We start from the raw sequence: 18902 nt of genomic DNA, 5'->3' as shown, positions 1-18902 counted from the left end.
TGACTCTAATTTGGTGTGCAGTGGGGGCCTTGATGTCCTTCTGCCTCTGTCCACATTTCCCCATGTGACTCATTGCACCCTGCATTGCTCACAGGGATCATTAGTTCTCCCGGTAGACAGAGCACCTCTGCAGCCTCTGCTCTGCTGCCTTGTGAATTTCCTCCATAGACTTGGTTGGTTATAATTTGGATACGGTTTTTTGTTTTTCTCCTTTGTTTTAATCGTCTCCCATATTGAAGCTGCTATTGGTGACAGGGACAGGGGAGCAGGAAGCCAACCCAGGGAAACATGCGAGTTTCCTGCACACCATTTGGCCACCTGCCCTCACTGGCCAAACCCCTACTGCTATTCCCAGTCAGTCTGGTTTTCAGAGGAATCATGGGAATAGAACAGCTGGATACACTAATCTCTACAGGGTGTCAGGCAGGAGATTCACCTTCCCCAGTCCCAGGGGACAGGAGAGAAATCTGTAAAGGGACAGATGCACCATCTTTATTTTAAAAGAAAAGGCTCCCGCAGATTTTGTTACTAGGAGTCTCCTTTGTGACATTTGCTAAGTTTTCTCCCCAATCCTACCTTCCTATTGACTATCTTTTATATAAAAATAATAAATATTTTAGGCTAATATGACAAAAATGAGATAAAATCTTAACATTTTACTGGTGTACAGATACTAAAATGTGCTTACTATAAAACAGTAAAATATTTCACTTTGGAAATCATCACTAAGTAATTATTCTATCCTGTTGATTGTGAGCCTTCAAAAATGTTTAATGCTTGATGGATGGTTTGGGAGGCGGGAGTCCTTTTGTTATTGGGGGAGGGTGTCCAGGTTCTTGGCATCTGGAACAAAGAATTGGACAAAATGCACAAACAAAGCAAGGAAGGAAGGGATTTACTGAAAAAGAAAGTACACTCCACAGTGTGGGAGTGGGCCCAAGCATAGTTACAGAATTTTGGGGAGTTTAAATACCCTCTAGAGGATCCCATTGGTTACTTGGGGTAAGCCCTATGTAAATGGGAGGATGAAGTAAAGTTACAAAGTCATTTACTTGGTCTATGCCCTATGGAGAGGATCTTTCCTGTCGCAGCTGAAGTGTGAATTGGCCTTATGTTCCCTGCCTCCAGACCCTATTTTCCTGCCTCACTTAAAACAAAACAAAACAAACCAAAAAACAAAAACAAAAACAAAAAACTTTAATGAGGCATGTGTTACATATCATAAAACTCACCCATTTCAAGTATAAAATTCAGTGATTTTAGTAACTTCCCTCAGTGATGTAGCCATAACTATTACTCAGTTTTGGAACAATTTTATCCCTCCTGATAAGATCCTTCATGCTCTTTCACAGTTAATCCTGTTCTTACCCCAGCTCCAGGCAACCAACAATCTACTTTCTCTCTATATAAATTTGCATTTTCTGGACACTTTGAATCAATGAAATCATACAATATGTGGTCTTGTGTCTGGTTTTTTTTTTTTTTTTTTAGACAGAATCTCGCTCAGCTGCCCAGTGCAGTGGTGTGACCTCGGCTCACTGCATCCACCATCTCCGTGGTTCAAGCGATTCTCCTGGCTCAGCCTCCCGAGTAGCTGGGATTACAGGCACCCGCCATCATGCCCAGCTAATTTTTGTATTTTAGTAGAGATGGGCTTTCACCATGTTCGCCAGGGTGGTCTTGAACACCTGACCTCAGGTGATCTGCCCGCTTCGGCTTCCAAAAGTGCTAGGATTACAGACGTAAACCACTGCGCCCAGCCGTGTCTGGCTTTTTTACTTAGCTAATGTTTTTGAGGTTTGTCCATGACAGATAACGTCTTGGTAGTTTGTTCCTTTTATTGCTGAGTAGAATTCTGTTGATGGATGTACCACATTTTGTCAGCAGAGAGCCTTTTAAACTTGGATTCCAACTTCCTGTTGTCTAAACGGAACCCTCCGAACGTAGGACTTATAGGGGAAGCTGCTGTGCATGTCAAAAAAACTACTAATCAGAATGAGCTTTGTCATCCAGAGCCAGAACTGCTGCAGAAATTTTTATAATTTTGCAACTTCTTTTTTTACAAGGAACTTTTGTGCTACTACACATCAGGACTTTTGAAGCATCCAATAAATCCATTTAATAAGTATGAGCATGTGTCTGAGTGGACAAGAAAGTGAAACCATCCATGCTACATTGGATAATTTTTCCTCCCCCAGACTGGACAGGGAATCTCAGCTTTCAAAACAGAGTAACCTGGCTCCACTTACAAAGCTGCACAGGCATTAAAGATCGTGCTGCCTTTGTTAGGCAGATTTGGAGGGGAGGCCCAACAGCAAAGATGGAGAGGAAAAAGGGAGTGGAGCTTGTGGAACAGGAAGCCCCCCAGGGTCTGTGCAGGGCTGCTCAGCTCTTGAGGATGTTGTGGATGGTGAAGTGGTGATGGTGTCCCGGAGCAGCCCAGCACCTCCACTGGGCCCAGAAGGTCTTGACTTCGGACACTTACCCCTGTTTCACAAGTGTTTATAAAGCTGTTTTTGCTTTTTTTCCCCTAATCATTACTTGGTAGTTATTAATCCTTCTTTGGGGGAGGGACAGGGCTTTAAAACTGAAGAAAATAATTTTCATAAAAATATCGAAAATGGAAAAAAATTACTTTGTAAAAAATTTGCTATACAAACCAAATGGCAGCTGTTGAGAATCTCAATAAAATGTTAAGTGCATTTGTTGGCAGTGGTACCCTTTTGCCTAAGGTTGGGTCACTGTGCCATCATACTGTGGGGGGCAGGGGTGTGCGGTATGTGTGGTGTATATGTGTGAAACTTTTTGTGTCAGGATGGGTCATAATCTTAGTTGCGGTTTTCTTTCCAAATAGGGTTACAAAGTAGTAAAACATGGGCTGGAAGTGACAGACCTGAGTGAATTCCACCTTCACTACTTTGTGCCATTGGCCTGCATTTTATTTACAAATAACCTCTTTATTTGTAAAGGTGCAGCACCTCTCCCCTGGAACTATAATGACAGAATTTTAAAATGCTGCCTGGCACATAATAGGCACTTAATACATGGTAGCCAATAGTGGCAATGATATGTACAGCTCTGAACAAAGAGGCAGTGGCATCTTTGAGCTAGAAGGGAAACTAGGCATTTGTTTTCCTGTTTCTGGGCAAAACTGGGGCTCTTACTACCTAGAAAACAAGTATTCCATATCTGCCTTTCAACTATTGAACAAGTTTCACATCCTGCTATATGTCAAGCATTGTCTTAGGCACAAGGGTTACGGGGGTTACCAAGCAGCCACAGTCCCTGCTGTTGTGATTATGGTTTGGCAATGCCTATTTAAACTGAAACCTCACTCAGATCTCCCAGTGATTTGTTGAGGGGCTTTATCATATGATAAAAGACGATATGGGACCAGCCCAGGACCCATGGGTTTTGCTCTGAGCCCTATCATTTCTTTGCCTCCTTCCTAAAAATGGAAGGGGGCGGGGCGGGGGGCTTGGTGGATCCTGAGCTGACTTGCCTATTTACAGCATTTTAAAATCCTATAGTTACATGTAGTTTTGTGTAAATAGGGTTTATTAGAATGTAACTTCCCTGAAGAGGTGGATGATATATTCTTTTTTTTTTTTTTGAGATGGAGTCTCACTCTGTCACCCAGGCTGGAGTGCAATGGTGTAATCTTGGCTCACTGCAACCTCTGCCTCCTGGATTCAAGCCATTCTCATGCCTCACCTGCTAGCATGCCCACCTAATTTTTCTACTTTTAGTAGAGACAGGGTTTCACCATGTTGGTCAGGCTGGTCTTGAACTCCTGAACTCAAGCAATCCACCCACCTCACCCTCCCAAAAGTGCTGGGATTACAGGCTTGAGCCACTGTGCCCGGCCTGGTGTACTTATTTATTTTTTTGAGACGGAGTCTTGCTTTGTCACCCGGTTGGAGTGCAGTGGCGTGATCTCGGCTCACTGCAACCTCCGCCTCTTGGGTTCAAGTGATTCTCCTGCCTCAGCCTGCCGAGTAGCTGGGACTACAGGTGCGCCCCACCACGCCCAGCTAATTTTTGTATTTTTAGTAGAGATGGAGTTTCACCATGTGGGCCAGGATGGTCTCGATCTCTTGACCTCGTGATCTGCCTGCCTCAGCCTTCCAAAGTGTTGGGATTACAGGCATGAGCCACCACGCCTGGCCTTGGTGTACTTACTTTTAATGCTTAGAGTACTCATCACACCTGCAAGACATTCAATAAATGTTTGCTGAATGAAAGGGACAGATGAAGCTGTACTATCCCTGTGATCACACAGGGAGATAAGGCAGTGCTAGCCTCATTCCAATGCTTGTTCCAAGCTCTCTTGTCTCATCACAGGGCTGTTACAGGCTCAGATGAGAGGACTGTATACATCTCTTAATGCCTTGGTGATACAAAATCCCATGAATTTCTTCTGATAGTTTGTTGGGGGACACTATAAGTTTAAAATTAAAGGGGGAGAAGGCCGGGCACAGTGGTTCACGCTTGTAATCCCAGCACTTTGGGAGGCCAAGACGGGCAGATCACCTGAGGTCAGGAGTTTGAGACCAGCCTGGCCAACATGGCAAAACCCCAACTCTACTAAAAAATACAAAAAAATTAGCAGGGCGTGGTGTTGCATGCCTGTAATCCCAGCTACTTGGGAGACTGAGGCAGGAGAATCACTTGAACCTGGGAGGCAGAGGTCGCAGTGAGCCGTTATCACACCACTGCACTCCAGCCTGGGCAACAGAGTGAGACTCTGTCTCAAAAATAAAATAAAATAAAATAAAATAAAATAAAATAAAATAAAATAAAATAAAATAAAATAAAATAAAATAAAATAAAATAAATAAAATAAAATAAAATAAAATAATAAAAGGGGAGAAACTCAGCAAAAATCACTTTTGGGCTGGGCATGGTGGCTCACACCTATAATTCCAGCACTTTGGGAGCCCAAGACAGCAGGATTGCTTGAAGCCAGGAGTTTGAGACCAACCTGGGCAACATAGCAAGACCCATCTCTACAAAAAAATGACAGAATTAGCCAGGTGTGGTGGTACATGTCTGTACTCCCAGCTACTTGGAAGGCTGAGGTGGATCACTTGAGCTCAGGAATTCAATGCTGCAGTGAGCTATGATAGTGCCACAGCACTCTAGCCTAGGCAAGAATAAGACCTCACCTCTAAAATAAATTTTAAAAAATCACTTGCGATTTTCTGCACTGCAGCCTAATAGAGCTTTAATAACTGGGAAGTGACCTCATCACATCTCCTAAATGTGACAGGAACTAGGAACACATCTGACCTTATGCACTTTAATACTACCTTTTTTCAGCATTTTTTTCAACATTTCTATGCTGGGACTAAAAAAATCAAGATGTGCTCCTCCACTAAAACCTCCACTGTCCAATTGGAATTGCAGTCTAGACAATTCTAAGGAAAAGTGATGGCCATATTCTGAAGAACATAAGTAGGTCTCAGTAGTTATAAACTCTTTTCACCAAAATGCTGTTTGATCCTCATCCTGAGAGCATTATTTAAAAAAATCTCCAAAGCTCACCACTCATTAATAACCTAACAGTTTTTCAAGACTGTGGGATATAGCAAAGATGCCTCTGCTGTGTCCTTGTTCTCTCTGCAAGCTTTTTACCAGGTGCTGGACTGGAGACTTGCTGAGTGCTAGACCACAGTGATTTGGTCATAGCTGGATGTGAAGATGGCTGGCTGTTCTTTCAGAAGGGACCTGGCTGGAGTTCTTATTGCTCAAAGCTCCAGCTTGCAGCACTGGGCTAGAGCTGATGGAAGGAGAGCTGTTACTATTCTGTTCTACGTGAATGCTACACTGTGAAAGAACAGCATCATCCGACTTGGGCAACAAGATAGTATTCAAGATGTCTTAGAAGGCCTAATCAGAACTTACCAGCTGTAGCATAGCACTCCCTCAAGTGCAGATGCTGGACCTCTGCAGCAGAAATTACTCAAGCTGTTCAGTATAATAGAAATGAAAATTCCCCATCCCATCCTTAACCTATTATCATCAGATACCTTAGGGCAGGGGAGGGGAGTAGACAAAAACCTGATTTTATTTTTATTTATTATTTTTTGAGGCAGAGTCTCGCTCTGTCGCCCAGGCTGGAGTGCAGTGGTGCGACCTCGGCTCACTGCAAGCTCCACCTCCTGGGTTCATGCCATTCTCCTGCCTCAGCCTCCCCAGTAGCTGGGACTACAGGCGCGCGACACCACGCCCGGTTAATTTTTTGTATTTTTTAGTAGAGATGGAGTTTCACCGTGTTAGCCAGGATGGTCTCAATCTCCTGACCTCGTGATCCACCTGCCTCGGCCTCCCAAAGTGCTGGGATTACAGGCGTGAGCCACCGTGCCCGGCCAAAACCGTGTTTTAAAACAAACTCTAGAATAACTGATGTCTGTAAGTTGGAGAACTGATGTGCAGGACATGATCCACATGCCTCTAATAAAACACCTGGAGAGGCAGCTATTGTGGATCGAGACTCCTGTCCTTAGTCTTCACCAAGCAGCACAGGCTGTGGAACCGAAGCTTCAGGTTTGCCTTCACTGGCTGAACTATGGTACCCAGAGGGCAGGAATCATGTCTGCTCTTCACTGATGCTCCTCATTCCCAGGAACACACAACACATAGTGTCACGCTGTAAGCAGAGCCAGGCTAGTAGTAGCCAGGAATAGGTCAGCTACCGAGGTGAGCGGTACCTAGTTGGTCTTCTTGGATCTCAGCCATCCTCATAACCTTTCAAAAACTCATTCATAGGAAAAACTTCAAAATGTCCTGCTTACCTGCAGTTACTAAATCCAGTGAGGTAAAGATGCTCCCAGTCTAGAATTGTACTCTAGCCCCTAAATCTTGCTGGGAGTCTCAGGAGAGGGTGTGATATACCTAAGGTTACTCCCTGTGATGTTCTGAATGGTGAGCACTTGTTTCTGCTGACTGTGGTCGCCAGGGATCGTTACCCACTTGACACGACAGGAGAAAACAGGTCACAGATTAACTGGCAGCCACACAGTGCATATGTATGGTAATATGGGGGGAAGGGTAGCACACAGACAAATCATCTGCCCAAGTGCATGCTGAGTGGATACAGATCACAGGCTGAGCACCTGGGGGCAGGGCTTTAAATCTTGGACTAAATTCACTCATGAGCCCTCCAGGATATCTGCTGGCAGGTGCACTGAGGATGTACATAGCACATGTGTTTGATAATGCAGTCCAATTGGGGAGTGGATAAAGTGCATTTATTTTCTTCTATGTTTGTTTTTGTAAAAAGGAGAAAGGAAGCAAAAGACTCCTTCCTTTCAGACCCAGTGTCCACTGAGCTTGGAGGGGGTGGAGCCGGGACCAGCCCCCTAGGAAAAGGTGTAGGAATAGAAGGCAATGGCATTGGCGCTATAGTCCATGGGGAGGAGGTGCCCGATGTGCCTGGCCCCTAGGCTGGCCCCACCCAGAGCGGAGGAGTGCCTCAGCTTCATCAGGGTGAAGCTGGAGAAGAAGTTCTGAGCCTGGATCTCTCTGCCCTGGGTCAGCGCCAGAAGAAAACCTGGAGGGAAGAACACAAGGACAGAGATAAGAGGAGAACAGCAACCTGTACTGGGGCCAGGAAGGAAGACAGACAAGGACGCCCAGACCCTGAGGTACTCCTGTAGAGATGCTGGAGGGGCCTACATGCCAAGTGCCCAGCACACAGGGTGCACTGGGTACTCGAGTATTGGAGCCAGCAACATAGGGGGCCTGCTCTCCTCTCAGCTCCAAAGGACCCAATGCCAGGAATTCCATGGTAGCAATGGGAGTCCTTGAGCTACTTCAGAATGTCCGGTAGAAACCATCCAACTGCCTGGCATAAGGCTGCCAGGGCTAAGAAGCCAGGCCTCTTTTCTTCTAGCTAGAATTATGTTGACTAGGGATGTCCCCCAGGTTATCACATGCCAGTCAGTGCTCCAATTTTAAGTCTGATTTGTCTTTAACTTTTTAAAAGTAGCTATTATTCAATAAATCATTTGGAACACAACATCTTTTCAAGAGTTCAAGGAAGGTGGATGGGACATCATTAAAGGGCTCAATGGCAGAATGAGGTTGAGGGCCTTAGACGGGAGCATCAGTGGCCTGTCTAGGCCTCAGGGTCCAGGAAGCAGGTTCTCTCTGGGGCAAAAAGCTTTCCTGGGCCACCTCCTTTCCAGCCCCGTCCCCTGCCCTTGCCCTTCCAGCCTCCCCCCAGGCTCACCTTCCTTCAGCAGCTCCCAGCTCTTCCACACAGAGCCCACGCACAGGATGGGGAGTCCAATCTTGCCCTGGAACAAGACCTGGGTGGAGAGCAGAAAATGGATATGGGGGCCAACCTAGCCTCTCCAGTGCTGAAGGCGGGAGTTTCCTATGACCAACCCACTCTATCCCAGTTACTCGCCCTCAAGCCAAGAAACAGTAGACAGACTCAGGAAAGGGGAAAAAAAAAGGGAGGAAAATAGGAGACATTTGTAAAGGGCAAGGAGAGAAGAGGAAGGAAAAAGCGTTAAGCAACAATAGAGAGGAAGGAAAGACAGAAGTGAGGGAAATGAACAGAAACATGACTGAACTGAAATTAACTGAAAGAAAGGGGACAGGCTGGGCGCGGTGGCTCATGCCTGTAATCCCGGCACTTTGGGCCAAGGTGGGTGGATCACTTGAGGTCAGGAGTTCAAGACCTACCTGGCCAACATGGCAAAACCAAAAATACAAAAATTAGCCGGCCATGGTGATGCGCGCCTGTAATCCCAGCTACTGGGGAGGCTGAGATACGAGAATCACTTGAACCTGGGAGGTAGAGTGGGAGGTGGAGGCTGCAGTGAGCTGAGATCACGCTACTGCACTCCAGCCTGGCTGACAGAGTGAGACTGTGTCTCAAAAAAATAAAAAATAAAATAGAAAGGGGACAGCACACACACACACGTACATTAAACTAATTTACTATACATAAATACAGATTACAGGCCAATTACAGAGGGCGGCATTTGACCAAAGAACTTTTTTGTTACAGACATTCTGCAGAATGCTTCTTAGACCCTAAGTTCATTTAAAATAGTATCCAATCTATGCAGGGTTTGATGGGATAGTCCCATCCACAGTGGGAAAGGACCACTCCTCACCCAGCAGCTCCCCACCTTCACTCCCACCTCAACTCACCGGGTCAATCTCGGGCAACACTGCTACGATGTGTCTGCCCAGCATCTCCCCAGCCTTCCTGAAGATATAGCGGGAAAGGGGGTCTCCCTGCTGAGCACCTGGGGTAGGGAGGACGGAAGAAGGAAACTGGTGAGAAAGGAGGGAGCTGCCATTCCTGGGCTATCCTCTCTCTGTTGCAAGGCAGCCATCACAGGAGCACCCTGAGCTAGGAGTCTACTGCCGGATGGATGCCCGCCTCGTGGCAGGTGGAGAAGCAAGTCTCCACTGACAAACATACCAGCTACCTCCCTCTGTAGAGGGGTGCCCTGTACAGAGGTGCTCACTCAGGCCCCCAACTCAGGAAGGGAGGGCAGCACCCACTAAAGGAATGCACTGGCACCTAGTATGCATCCAGCTCACACTGAGTTACTGTAAGTCTGTTCCTATGAGGCTGTCAGCTCTGGGGACCCAGGATCCTAGCTGAACAGCTGGCTGGTACTCCTGTCAGTGCCCTCCACCAACTTCTAACAGTCTGCTGTTGGTTAGCCTGTTCCTGCTTCTTTTCTAGAGGGGACTCAGTCCAGCAGGATCTAAGAGAGCCCTAGAATGCCCTGAGGCTGCAGGAACCCAAATTAAGGCAGGATGGACCTCACAGTGGAGAAAGAGCAATGTACAGATATACAAGCCCTCTGTTCAGCATCTCCTGACACCCAACAAAATATGCCTAACCTCTCTATAATCCCCTAGTTCTTTGAGTATAATTGGCTAGGAAAAGAAAGTTATAGATTTGTCCAAAGGACAACTGCTTCATAAATTCCTCAGAAACAGGCATACAGCCTAAGCAAGCCATGATAGCTATTAAAGAAAAAAACACAGGTAATACAAAACTGTCAACACGACCCACGTGCCCTTCTGCCTCCACCCCAAGGCCCACCACCACCAAGGCCAGTGGTGGCAGAGAACTGAGGTCACTTGGTGAGAGGAAAATTGTTGTCAGTCCTGTCTGAACCCCACTCAATCTCCCAACTGGGGATCTTTGGAGAACAAAGCCAGATAAAACCCACCCCCCACCTCCAGTACCTTCTGCAATTTTCCGGCAAAACCCAGCAAACCTGCATTTATCAAAGTCCCTATACAGGTGAGTGAGTATCCCTAGCCGATCTGGCACCTGAGAGGAGAAAGGGCACAAGAGAGTCATCAGAAGCAAAGGAAAATCCCCAATCTGCCCACCAAAGTTGGCCTTCCTAATGTCTCTACTGTTGGAAAAGCTAGAATAATTTTTTTTAACTCCAAAGTACAGGGATTTGAGATTTCTCATTTGAGAAAAGTTATCTGTGTTCCCTAACATGGACTTCATTATTTCTTATAGATTAGTTTGAAGGCAGCACAGAGAACAGATTTGTGTTAACCAAAGTGTTTCCTATAGTTTCTTGAGCTGCTCTTTTTTTGTAATTTTTTTTTTTTCCTTTTTAGGGACAAGGTCTTGCTGTTGCCTAGGCTGGCCTTAAGCAATCCTCCCACGTCAGCCTCCTGAGTAGCTGGGTTGGGGTGCTCTTGAAAAGATTTCTTTGGTCAAAGGAATCCAAGGAATATTGCATATTGTAACTCTCCCTTGGGGAGTCACAATGCACATTAGCAAATTAAAGGCTCTGAGAAGTCCTGCAATCAAGAAATCAATTTGTTTCTCCCAAAACTTATTTGACCACAGAAGGTAGGTCCTTCCAATCCCAACAAACTTATACATCTTTAACACCTCTAAGGTCCTGAGGAACCAATGGTTCCCCAGAATATTTTTTTTATTTTTTTTGAGGCAGAGTCTCGCTCTGTCACCCAAGCTGGAGTACAGTGGTGTGCTCTCACCTCACTGCAACCTCCGCCTCCCAGGTTCAAGCAATTCTCTCTGCCTCAGCCTCCTGAGTACCTGGGATTACAGGCACCCGCCACCACGCCTGGCTAATTTTTGTATTTTTAGTACAGACGGGGTTTCACCATGTTGGCCAGGCTGGTCTTGAACACCTGACCTCAAGTGATCCGCCCACCTTGGCCTCTCAAAGTGCTGGGATTACAGGTGTGAGCCACCGTGCCCAGCCCCCAGAATATATTTTAAGTAAATGTCTGAGGGGGTGGGTGGTAAAACTTGAGCACCTACAGCAATGTAGTAAGCACGTTATATACTATCTCATCTGATCTTTGAAACAACCCTGTAAGAATGACTAAAGGATAGAAGAGGGAGCAGTAGACCTATCAGTAGAGTTTGGAACCAATTGGCTGAGTCCGGATAGCTTAACAGTTACTAACTGCACTTCCTATGACAACTGCTCATCAAGTGATTTCTCTTCCTGGTCCCCTCCTATTCCTCACCTTGGCCTAGCCGGGCCCCTCTTTAATCATCAATCCCTCAGCCCTGATAATCCAGGCCCTACTTCCCAGCATCTCTATTTTCCTTCCTTGGTCCTGGTCCCAGCCCCAGCCCCAGCCCACCTAAATGTCTGGACAGGAAGACTAACTGGGCCTCACAGGTAACTATCAAACTCATCAACCTTGTCCTCTCCCTTTCACCTTCTCTCCCGCCTTTTACCTCTGGTTCCGCTAAAGGCAGATGTTTCCTAACTTACCACAAATGAACACAGCACAGACAAGGAGGAGTCAATCCCCAACGCCCAGAGGAGGAAGATGCATATCCCCCAGAACTCTCCCTGTCCACCTCTTTAAGGGCTCTCTTGACCCATCCAGGCCAGAAGCAGCTCACAGCCCAGTGCACACATTCATACTCTACCTGCTGTCTCTGCCCTGTGATCTCATCCTGCACTTTTCATTCTAGCCTAGAATGCCATCTCTTTCACCTCCCAGCAGGTTCTAGCTGCCCAAGAATGAAGTCTGGCTAATCACCTGTCCCCAAACCATCGCTTCCTCATGACTGACACCCTCCTAGAATGCACTGCCCTGTCCTAGAATGCACCTCCTAGAATGCACCCTGTCCTCACCTATGACTTCACCCTGCAACTCAGACCCACAACTCACCCTATTTCCTGCCGGTCCGCCCAGGCCCTCCCCTGCATCCACTCTTACTTGGAGTGTTTCACTGCCCTACCCCAGGTGCGCATGTTTACTGGGAGCAGGAGGAGTACCTGGAAATAGTGGAACATGGCCTGTTTGACGTAGCCGATATCATGAGGAGCCGCCTCTAGGTTGTCAATGGAGTCAAACACTATTTTCACTGCTTGGTGTGCGATCCAGTAGGCTGCAGGGAGCAGAGAGGGCTAAGAAGATGGGAGCAGTCATCCTGAGCTCACGAGGAGGGAAACTCAGATCCAGACAGGTTAGTGATCTGCTTGAATTTTATACAAATTAGGTTTCCTGATTCCCAGCCAGGGGTGGCAGGGGGTGGGAGAGGGGGGTGGGAGGGTCTCTATCAAACTGTATCTGACTGACCAAGATAAGGGAAAGTTGGAGGGGGAAAACAGAATAGGTGAGGCTGTGTCACACCAGCTCCTACCCAAGGATAAGGCAAGGTCAGTCTGTTGTCACAAATACCACCGGAGTCACTGCCATGAACTGGACCTCAAGGGCCCCTATGAAAATAAACACACACTACCTAGAGAGAGGTGATGTTGGAAGGGCTTCTACACCCTTTCCCCTAGCAGACTGGTATGGCATCTCCTGGCATCTATGGCCTTACCCTCAGTTTCAACTCCTCCCTAAGGACAGCAAGTCAACACAGGCAGGCCCCTGTGCTGAGGGATGAATCTGAGTCCTGGGTGCAAGTCACTGCTGGAGAGCAGGGTCAGCAGCTCGTCCAGCATTTGCACCTCTATGATCTCAGTCATGATCCTGCACATGGAATGGCCAGGTTCAGGAGTTGTCCCCAGGAAGCCCCAAGGGCTCAGTGAGCCAAGGCTAAGGAGAGAAAGACAGGGAGTGAAGGAAGGAGCAGATCCAGGACCTGGAGCTGGGCCAGTCAGTGAGCTCACCTGAACCCTCATCACCCATCATATGGCCCCAGCCGCCGCAGCCACTCTCGGAGCCATCAGGGTTGATGAGCCTGCAGTTGGAGCCTGTTCCAGATATGAGCACAACTCCACCTGGGGAAAGGGAATAGGAGGCTCAGTGTGGCCGAGGCCTGGCACAGAGCAACAGCTTGCCACTGTGGAAAGACAGGACAGAAAACAGCCCCAGGCAAGGGAATCACCACCCAGTCCTGTAGAGGAGAAAACTGAGCCCAGCTAGTTTCCTGCCTGAGGGTGAGAGCCTGGGTCTCAGAAAAACTCTAATCCCATAACGCCCTCGTCTAGGGGGACAAAGAGAAATGCAAGCCTGCACCTCTTAGAGGGAATGTGGCTCCTTGCCCAGCCGGTCTTCCAGTGACTCTACCTGCTTTACTGGGATTGTGCTAGACCCGTTCTCACAGTGATATTCACTCATACCCTAAACCATCTTATGAATACAACTTCCTCTATTTTATAGATGAGAAAACTGAAACTCAGAGTTTTGGAACTTCGCCAACATGGTATAGCAGGCAAAACAGGAACTGGGATTCAAACACCAATCCCATGACACCAAAACTCTTTACACTATCACAAGGCCACCCCACTTCCTCCTCAGCACTGACAGCTTCCCCAGCCTGCCTTCCTCACTACACCGCCCCCAGGTGGTCCCTCATCTGCAGGGGAGTTATGTTTGACCCCACTCCTGGATTCCCATCAAGAGACCTTTCTTGCCCTTCCTCCTGCTGCCTGGTCCTTGCTCTGGCAGAGACTTAAACTACTTAAAGAGTTGAGGGGAATATAAGAGTGGCTGCCTTCTGGATATTTGCAGAACAAGTTTTGTCAGCTATATCTAAGGGGCTTTCCCAAAAAAACCAGTTCTCACTCTCACCCCTCCCTCCACTTCCTCACCATCCGGTGTAGCTGTGGCGATGGAGCCGGCGGCATCGGTGGTGATTAAGTAGCTTTCACTCAGGTAGGGAAATCGGTCCCTCAGCTCCTCGATCAGGATCCTCCCCGCGTCCTCCTGGTCCCCACCGCTCAGAGATAGGCCCTAGGCCACGCGGGAGGTGAGCGAGTGTGCAGAGCCCCAGCCCCAGCTCTTTTCTCAACCCCCGCCCCCTCCTGATGCCTGATTCCTGTTCTCCCCATCTGGCCATACCCTGTTCACCCAGCCCCAGTCCTCCTTTCTCCCCACACAATGACCCCTCAGAAGGCTGTGGTTATAAGAACAACCTGGACTGGGGATGGACAGAAGAAAGAGGGGATTCAACAATGCCAGCTTTGGAGCTTGGAAGGGCAGTAGTGCTCTTAACAGAAAGATCAGGCAGCGGGGCAAGGTGAGGGGAGATGGAGAGAGGTAAGCTTGGTTTGGTATACACGAGGTTTGCCTGTGTCTGCAGAACATCTCACATATATGTCCAGGGAGTAGCTGGAGCTACCGCAACTTGGGAGAAAGATCTGAACCAGGAGTAAATAATAGCTAACATTTAATGAGTGCTTATGGGTCAGGCTCTATACTAACCACTTTGCAATGTATCATGCCATTTTACTTTCCCAACAACTCTGAGGTAGCTACTATTCACATTTTCCAAATGAGGAAACTGAGGCTTAGAGAAGGTGAGTAACCTACACAGGGTTACGCAGATACTGAGCAGCAAAGCTGGGATTCAAACCAAGGTCTCAGCAGCTCTCCAAAGCCCTGTGCTCTTCCAACACATTTGTAGTTTGTAGGTGGCAACTGAAGCCATGAGACTGGGTGAGATTATGACAGTTTTGACACCAGGGACTAAGTCTTGGAGGTCTTTCCCTCTGCAGTCATCAAACTCATCTAGTCCAAACTTGCTAGCTGTCTCAGTGTCACAGATGGCTGAATTCCCAGGCTCCGCCCCAGACTCACCAAGCTTCGCAGCGGTACCAGAGGATCCACCCCTGCTTTCCGTTTGGCCCTGTTCACCATCTCATTGATCCTCTCCACACACTTGTCTGTCCCGATCAGCTGGCCCCAATCAAGGGAAGAAGGAGTTACAAAGGCTTACAGAAGCTATGTTGCCCCCACAGGCTGCTCTGTGAGTCCCAGCCACCACCTCAACAGGAATTACAGAGAATAAAATCAGAACCAAGCCCTCTGATCCCCTCAGTGTGGTTTTTACCCAGTGGTTTGTGCTCAGTCCATCTGCTTCTGCCAGGATCTTCCCATCCTCTGAGACTAAAAGGACCTCGGATCGTGTGCCTCCCCTACAGAACACAAGAGGGCACTTGATCTTGCTCGGAAAAACCCACAGAGAGAGCTAAGCTTGTGCTGTCCACACTGGCAGAGCCCAGTATGATGGAGGAGACAGCTTCGACAAACTCAATCACCACTCCCAAACCCGCCTCTGTGGTTCAGTGTTTGAGTGCTCTTTAACTGAAACATAATTCTCACTCCTCTTCCCTTGGGGATGTCCTCCTTATCCTGCAAGACTCTACTTACGCTTCACCTAGTCCTCGAAACCTTTTCTGAGGTGTGGCCCACCCCAACGAATTAGTTAAGTCTCCGTTAGTTAAACCTTCATAGTGCCTCCAAAGTTATTAAAGTCTCCTCTGTATGAAGTGTGTGTTCAGACGCTTTGTGTCCGCCTCTCACTAGACTTCAAGCTCCACTGGGTCAAGCTCCTGATCACTTACTTACCCTCTCAGAACGAGCACAGGAGCTGGCACAGGCAATGCTCAGCAAACACTCCTAAGAAAAATGGCACATCTCTCTGCTTCCCTCACAATAGCTAAAGACTGCATTTCAAGATCCAGCTGCCAAGGTCTTCAAGACACCTTTGCTAGAAATGCTGACCAGATGGCAGGGTGACTTCATACATACTTAAGCAACTAAACCTTCAAATGTTGATTACTGGGGGTCACAGTAGTTCACAGGGAGATCTGTGGTGATGGGATATATGTTTCTTTATTGATCATTACTTTTAGGAATGGCAGAAGAAGACACTGAAGACCGCTCATCAAACTCAAAGAGGACATGAAATTTCAAGGGGGTAGTTAATACATGAGGTGGCAGATTCCACATCCAAAAGCATGTCTTGACGAACTGGAAGAAACGGGTCATATCTTACAGATGACTATAACAAGGATGAATGCAGACTCCTATACTGTTTTTTTTAAGTGCTACAAATACAGGATGGGAAAGATCATTCCTAACAATTCATGTGAAAAGACTTTGGGGTCTGTGAATCAGCAGTGGGGTGTGGCTGCCAGAGAAGTGAAAACAATCACAGATTCGAAAGTACAGTGCCCTGGCTGAGAGGCCAGCGACCCCCATTATTCCCTGATTTGACAAACTCAGATTCACAGAATGTTGCCACTGGCAGGGACATAGCGATCTTATTTATCCCTATCCTCACTTTGCACATACGGTAACTGTAGCCCAGGGAGGGTAAATATCTTGTCCATGGTCATACCCAGGGGCAGAGCTATTACAAAAAGTTCAGTAAACAAGCTTCTGAGCAGAAAAATGCAATCTAGTGAAAGCAGCATGGAAGGCCAACAGGGATGGAGCGGTTTTCAGACATCAGGACAACCTAGTACTCTGGCTCGCAGCTGCTCCAGCTCCCGGATAACCTCAGCCAAGATCTTTGTCCCGCTTCTCCCCACTCCCACTCCCCACCCTGCCCGCGCTCAGCAATTTCACACCTGACACCTGTTCTGCAAAACTCTGTCCGAGGTCAGGAATAGGAAAAAGGAGCTGCTTCTCCAGCTGAAGACAGCGGAGTGGGTGTTTCGTGGAAGAAAGGGGCGTGGTTCCGCCAAGAAACACAAAGGATCCCCAACCCGGGGTGTGGCTGTTGCACAGGCAGAGTCCCCGTAAGGCATACAGCTGTGCGCTCCAGGGCGCCCCTGCGCGTGCACACACCTCTTCACCGCAAGGTCCCGCCGCCCAAAGTGCCCGGACGCCGAGGATCAAGGCCACCAGCTTGCCAGGCTGGCCACGGCCTTCCGCCCCGCCTTCGGGCCCAGGCTCCCTCCGCCGGGCCGCACTCACCCCTCTACACCCCCATAGATCGCGGCCATGCTGCTGCTACCGTCGCTGCTGGTCCCGCCGTTTGCGTCTCTCCCCGCCTGACACCTCCTTCCCTCCAGCTGTCTGGGCACCGCCCCACTTCCCGTGACCTCCCGCGCAGCCAGCTGACTCCCTGTGCGCGTGCGCATGCGCGGGGCGGGGCGCCGGTAGGAGCCGGGGATGGCTGCGTCCCTCAGGCTGTCTTCCTTCTGGTGTCTCCTCCAGGTGGAGCGACTGCGGTCCGCAGCGGCCCCTCCCGTCCTCCTGGATCCTGCTTCCAGAGATGGACACTAATCCCAAGAGGAGGAATCAAAGAGGGGTATCTAGGTCGGTCGGACCCTTAGGACACATCACTGACCTGCCTGCCTGTAAACGCCCGGAAGTTGCTGGCAGTCCCGCGTTAGGTTGCGCGTGCGCACTGCTCTTGGCCGCGTAGGTTGTGACGCATGCTCGGCCAGACCCCCGCGAAGCTGTGGGCTCAGGGACCTGCGCCCATGGACCTGTAACAGAAATTACTGTAATGTTCTACTGAACATCTGCCACGCGATGGCGAGTCACACGGGCACACACGAACACTCGCTCAGATTGTTGCCCTGCGCTCGTGTGAATGTACGGATCCGGGAGGAATTGGGACCTAAACAGACAAGCCCTCGAGGCGGTCCCGGCAGCCCTGAGGAGGGAGCCTTCACCTCTTCCTACCCACCCAGTTTACTTCTTGTGGAGGATATTTGCAGGGACATAGCCCACTGGGAGAACTAGCAGATACGGCTTTACAAGTTTTTTATTGCCTTTCAGCCCCCATTCCGCTCCCCTTCCTTGCGCTGCGTCGGGAAAGGGAATGGGATCCCTAGGGGTGCAAATACAGGCCAAGTCAGGGAGAGCTGTGGCTCCTGAGGGCCTCCTCTGGCTCCTCCGGGAAGTTTTGGGCCCTCAAGGAGCAGCTTCGCGGGCCAGGAGGGCGGTTAGCTGCCCTTGGCATCTTTTTGGGGAAATCAGTTGGCCTGTCGCGGGTCGAACTCTGTCCCCCTTGACTGCCTGCCATCTTCTGGAGAAACCCCTAATAGGCTGCTGTGTCTGGTTATGCTTTAGTGAGAAAATTAGGCTTTTTAAGCTTTCTCATTTCCTACCCTACCACGTTGTAATTCACAAAAGTAAAAAGTAAATCACTACATGATAGACTCTGTATCATGTATTCATTTATAGAATATATATCATATATTCTATATCAGATGGAGAATATAATAGAGGGTAGGATTTTTTTATGCCTGCCTATGGCATTTTTTTAATTCACAGCACTTTAGAGCTGGAAGATTATCCAACATACACATTTTTAGAATTACAGTTAGTAGATTGTGGTGCAATTAAACTGGGCAGGATTTTTGGAGACTAGATTGTAGGTGGATTTTGAAATAATTGTTTCTGTCCTGTACTACTGCAATGAGCCATGGGACGTATGTGTATAAATATTAAGTTTGTCTTTGTATTGCTTGTTTAGGCAAGCAAGCAAAAGGGAAAGTGCCCAGGTTTAAGACAAGAATTGAGTTCACCATTTACTAGCTGGATGAGCTTGGGTGACTTACAGGTAATTGCTGCAGCCTCTCCTCTACAAAATGGAAATGATAAACATCTACCTGCTGGGGCTGACGCAAGATTTAAATGCCAAAAGAGTTTTGGAAACCATAAAGTACTTCACAGATCTTAACTAACTTGTATTTACATTACCA

At 48.2% G+C, this 18902-nt stretch overlaps 1 protein-coding gene across 5 annotated transcripts, besides 5 other annotated features; it reads right to left on the bottom strand.

Annotated features, from left to right (window-relative positions):
• Window positions 1303-2117: an enhancer, noted in NCBI's record as "H3K4me1 hESC enhancer chr2:71310886-71311700 (GRCh37/hg19 assembly coordinates)". NCBI's record gives its function as "activates a minimal SCP1, AML or CMV promoter by ChIP-STARR-seq in primed H9 embryonic stem cells {active_cell/tissue: H9 hESC(primed)}" and the evidence as "EXISTENCE:reporter gene assay evidence [ECO:0000049][PMID:30033119]".
• Window positions 3366-3415: a silencer, noted in NCBI's record as "silent region_11620". NCBI's record gives its function as "represses an Ori minimal core promoter by ATAC-STARR-seq in GM12878 lymphoblastoid cells {active_cell/tissue: GM12878}" and the evidence as "EXISTENCE:reporter gene assay evidence [ECO:0000049][PMID:35858748]".
• Window positions 6065-17577, bottom strand: NAGK (N-acetylglucosamine kinase). Of its 5 annotated transcripts, none has more exons than NM_001330426.2 (10): window positions 17537-17577; window positions 15287-15371; window positions 15034-15132; window positions 14046-14187; window positions 13122-13232; window positions 12279-12391; window positions 10231-10318; window positions 9172-9269; window positions 8237-8315; window positions 6065-7555 (listed from the first exon to the last, which is right to left on the bottom strand). In NM_001330426.2, the coding sequence occupies exons 3-10, from the start codon at window positions 15091-15093 to the stop codon at window positions 7365-7367; spliced, it is 882 nt and encodes a 293-aa protein (NP_001317355.1). In that variant the 5' UTR covers window positions 15094-15132; window positions 15287-15371; window positions 17537-17577; the 3' UTR covers window positions 6065-7364. The 5 variants fall into 5 exon arrangements, with proteins under 5 accessions (NP_001317355.1, NP_001352395.1, NP_060037.4 ...); NM_001365466.2 differs by lacking the exon at window positions 17537-17577 and adding an exon at window positions 17032-17225; NM_017567.6 differs by lacking the exon at window positions 17537-17577 and adding an exon at window positions 17161-17225.
• Window positions 13316-13375: an enhancer, noted in NCBI's record as "active region_16013". NCBI's record gives its function as "activates an Ori minimal core promoter by ATAC-STARR-seq in GM12878 lymphoblastoid cells {active_cell/tissue: GM12878}" and the evidence as "EXISTENCE:reporter gene assay evidence [ECO:0000049][PMID:35858748]".
• Window positions 13406-13485: an enhancer, noted in NCBI's record as "active region_16012". NCBI's record gives its function as "activates an Ori minimal core promoter by ATAC-STARR-seq in GM12878 lymphoblastoid cells {active_cell/tissue: GM12878}" and the evidence as "EXISTENCE:reporter gene assay evidence [ECO:0000049][PMID:35858748]".
• Window positions 16940-16999: a silencer, noted in NCBI's record as "silent region_11619". NCBI's record gives its function as "represses an Ori minimal core promoter by ATAC-STARR-seq in GM12878 lymphoblastoid cells {active_cell/tissue: GM12878}" and the evidence as "EXISTENCE:reporter gene assay evidence [ECO:0000049][PMID:35858748]".
• Window positions 17578-18902: the final 1325 nt, after the last annotated feature.

This window comes from Homo sapiens, chromosome 2 (assembly GCF_000001405.40).
Source record: "Homo sapiens chromosome 2, GRCh38.p14 Primary Assembly".
In the NCBI taxonomy this organism is placed as follows: Eukaryota; Metazoa; Chordata; class Mammalia; order Primates; family Hominidae; genus Homo; species Homo sapiens.
The sequence above is the reverse complement of the archived record's forward strand: the minus strand, read 5'-3'. Positions and strand labels throughout refer to the sequence as shown.